Raw genomic sequence first — 1,338 nt, 5'->3', positions numbered from 1 at the left:
TTTCTGTATTGAAGAAGCTGACAAATACAATAGTTAGTACAAATAATCATTTTGTTACTAAAACTAACACTTAAAAAATATTTCTAATATATGGAAATAATTGCTGTCATGACATTGATTATCTTTTAAAGATGGAATTGAACATGAACTCAAAGACCTCAATTTTATAAACAAAAATGGTATGATAGAATAGTATTTATACACATTTGAAATGGAAAACTTTAAGTTAACTTCATCTGGATATATTGTGAAACTCCTCAAGGGGGTTGTATACTCACAACAGCACTAGTTCATGTAATTTGAGGATATTCTCCAGTAGACTGGACTTTCTTTACTTTTAGCTCTGTTTTATTGTCCAGAGTATTGGTACTGGTAAATTTTTACCACCACTACAACTACAGGCTTGGAGACACATTTTTTAATTCAAAATTAGCTTTAATACTAGTTCTGAATTGAAAAAAATTCTTTATAAGTCTGGAACTTATAATAAGATGTAATAATCTACTTCCTGAATTATTATTGCTTATTTTTCATAGTGTTAAGAGATACACATTCATACAAACACAACTATTTTCTAAGAATCTCTTTTCAATTGAAATGTCTGAAATGAGACAAAGAATTCAGAAACTGGATGTCAAGGATGCTCAGTAAGCATCCTTGAAATTCAATCCAAGGAAGCCAGAAAAACGATCCAAGACTTGACAGATGAAGCAGTCATATTAATAAATAACCAAACTGAACTTCTGAAATTGGAAAATTCACTATAGGAATTTCAAAATACAGTTGAATGCCTTAACAACAGACTAGACAAAGCAGAGGAAAGAATTTTGGTGCTTGAAGACTGGTTATTCTAATCAACCTACACAGACAAAGAAAAAGAAAAAGGAGTTTCAAAAAATGAATGAAGCCTCGGAGAGATATGGGATTATGTAAAATGATCAAACCTACAACTCATTGGCATTCCTGAGAGAAAAGAAGTGACAGTAAGCAAGTTGAAAAACATATTTCAGGATATAATACATGAAAAATTCCCCAACCTTGCAAGAGAGGTCGACATGCAAATTCAAGAAATTCAGAGAATCTCTGAGACATATTATGCAAGATGACTATCTCCAATGTACATAGTCTTTGGCCCAGTGGGGTGGCTCACGCCTGTAATCCCAGCACTTTGGGAGGTCAAGGCGGGCGGATCACGAGGTCAGGAGATGGAGACCATCTTGGCTAACATGGTGAAACCCCGTCTCTACTAAAAATACAAAAAATTAGCCGTGTGTGGTGGCGGGCGCCTGTAGTCCCCGCAACTCGGGAGGCTGAGGCAGGAGAATGGCGTGAACCCGG

Source organism: Homo sapiens, chromosome X (genome assembly GCF_000001405.40).
Source record: "Homo sapiens chromosome X, GRCh38.p14 Primary Assembly".
Classification (NCBI taxonomy): Eukaryota; Metazoa; Chordata; class Mammalia; order Primates; family Hominidae; genus Homo; species Homo sapiens.
Note: the sequence above shows the minus strand (reverse complement) of the source record.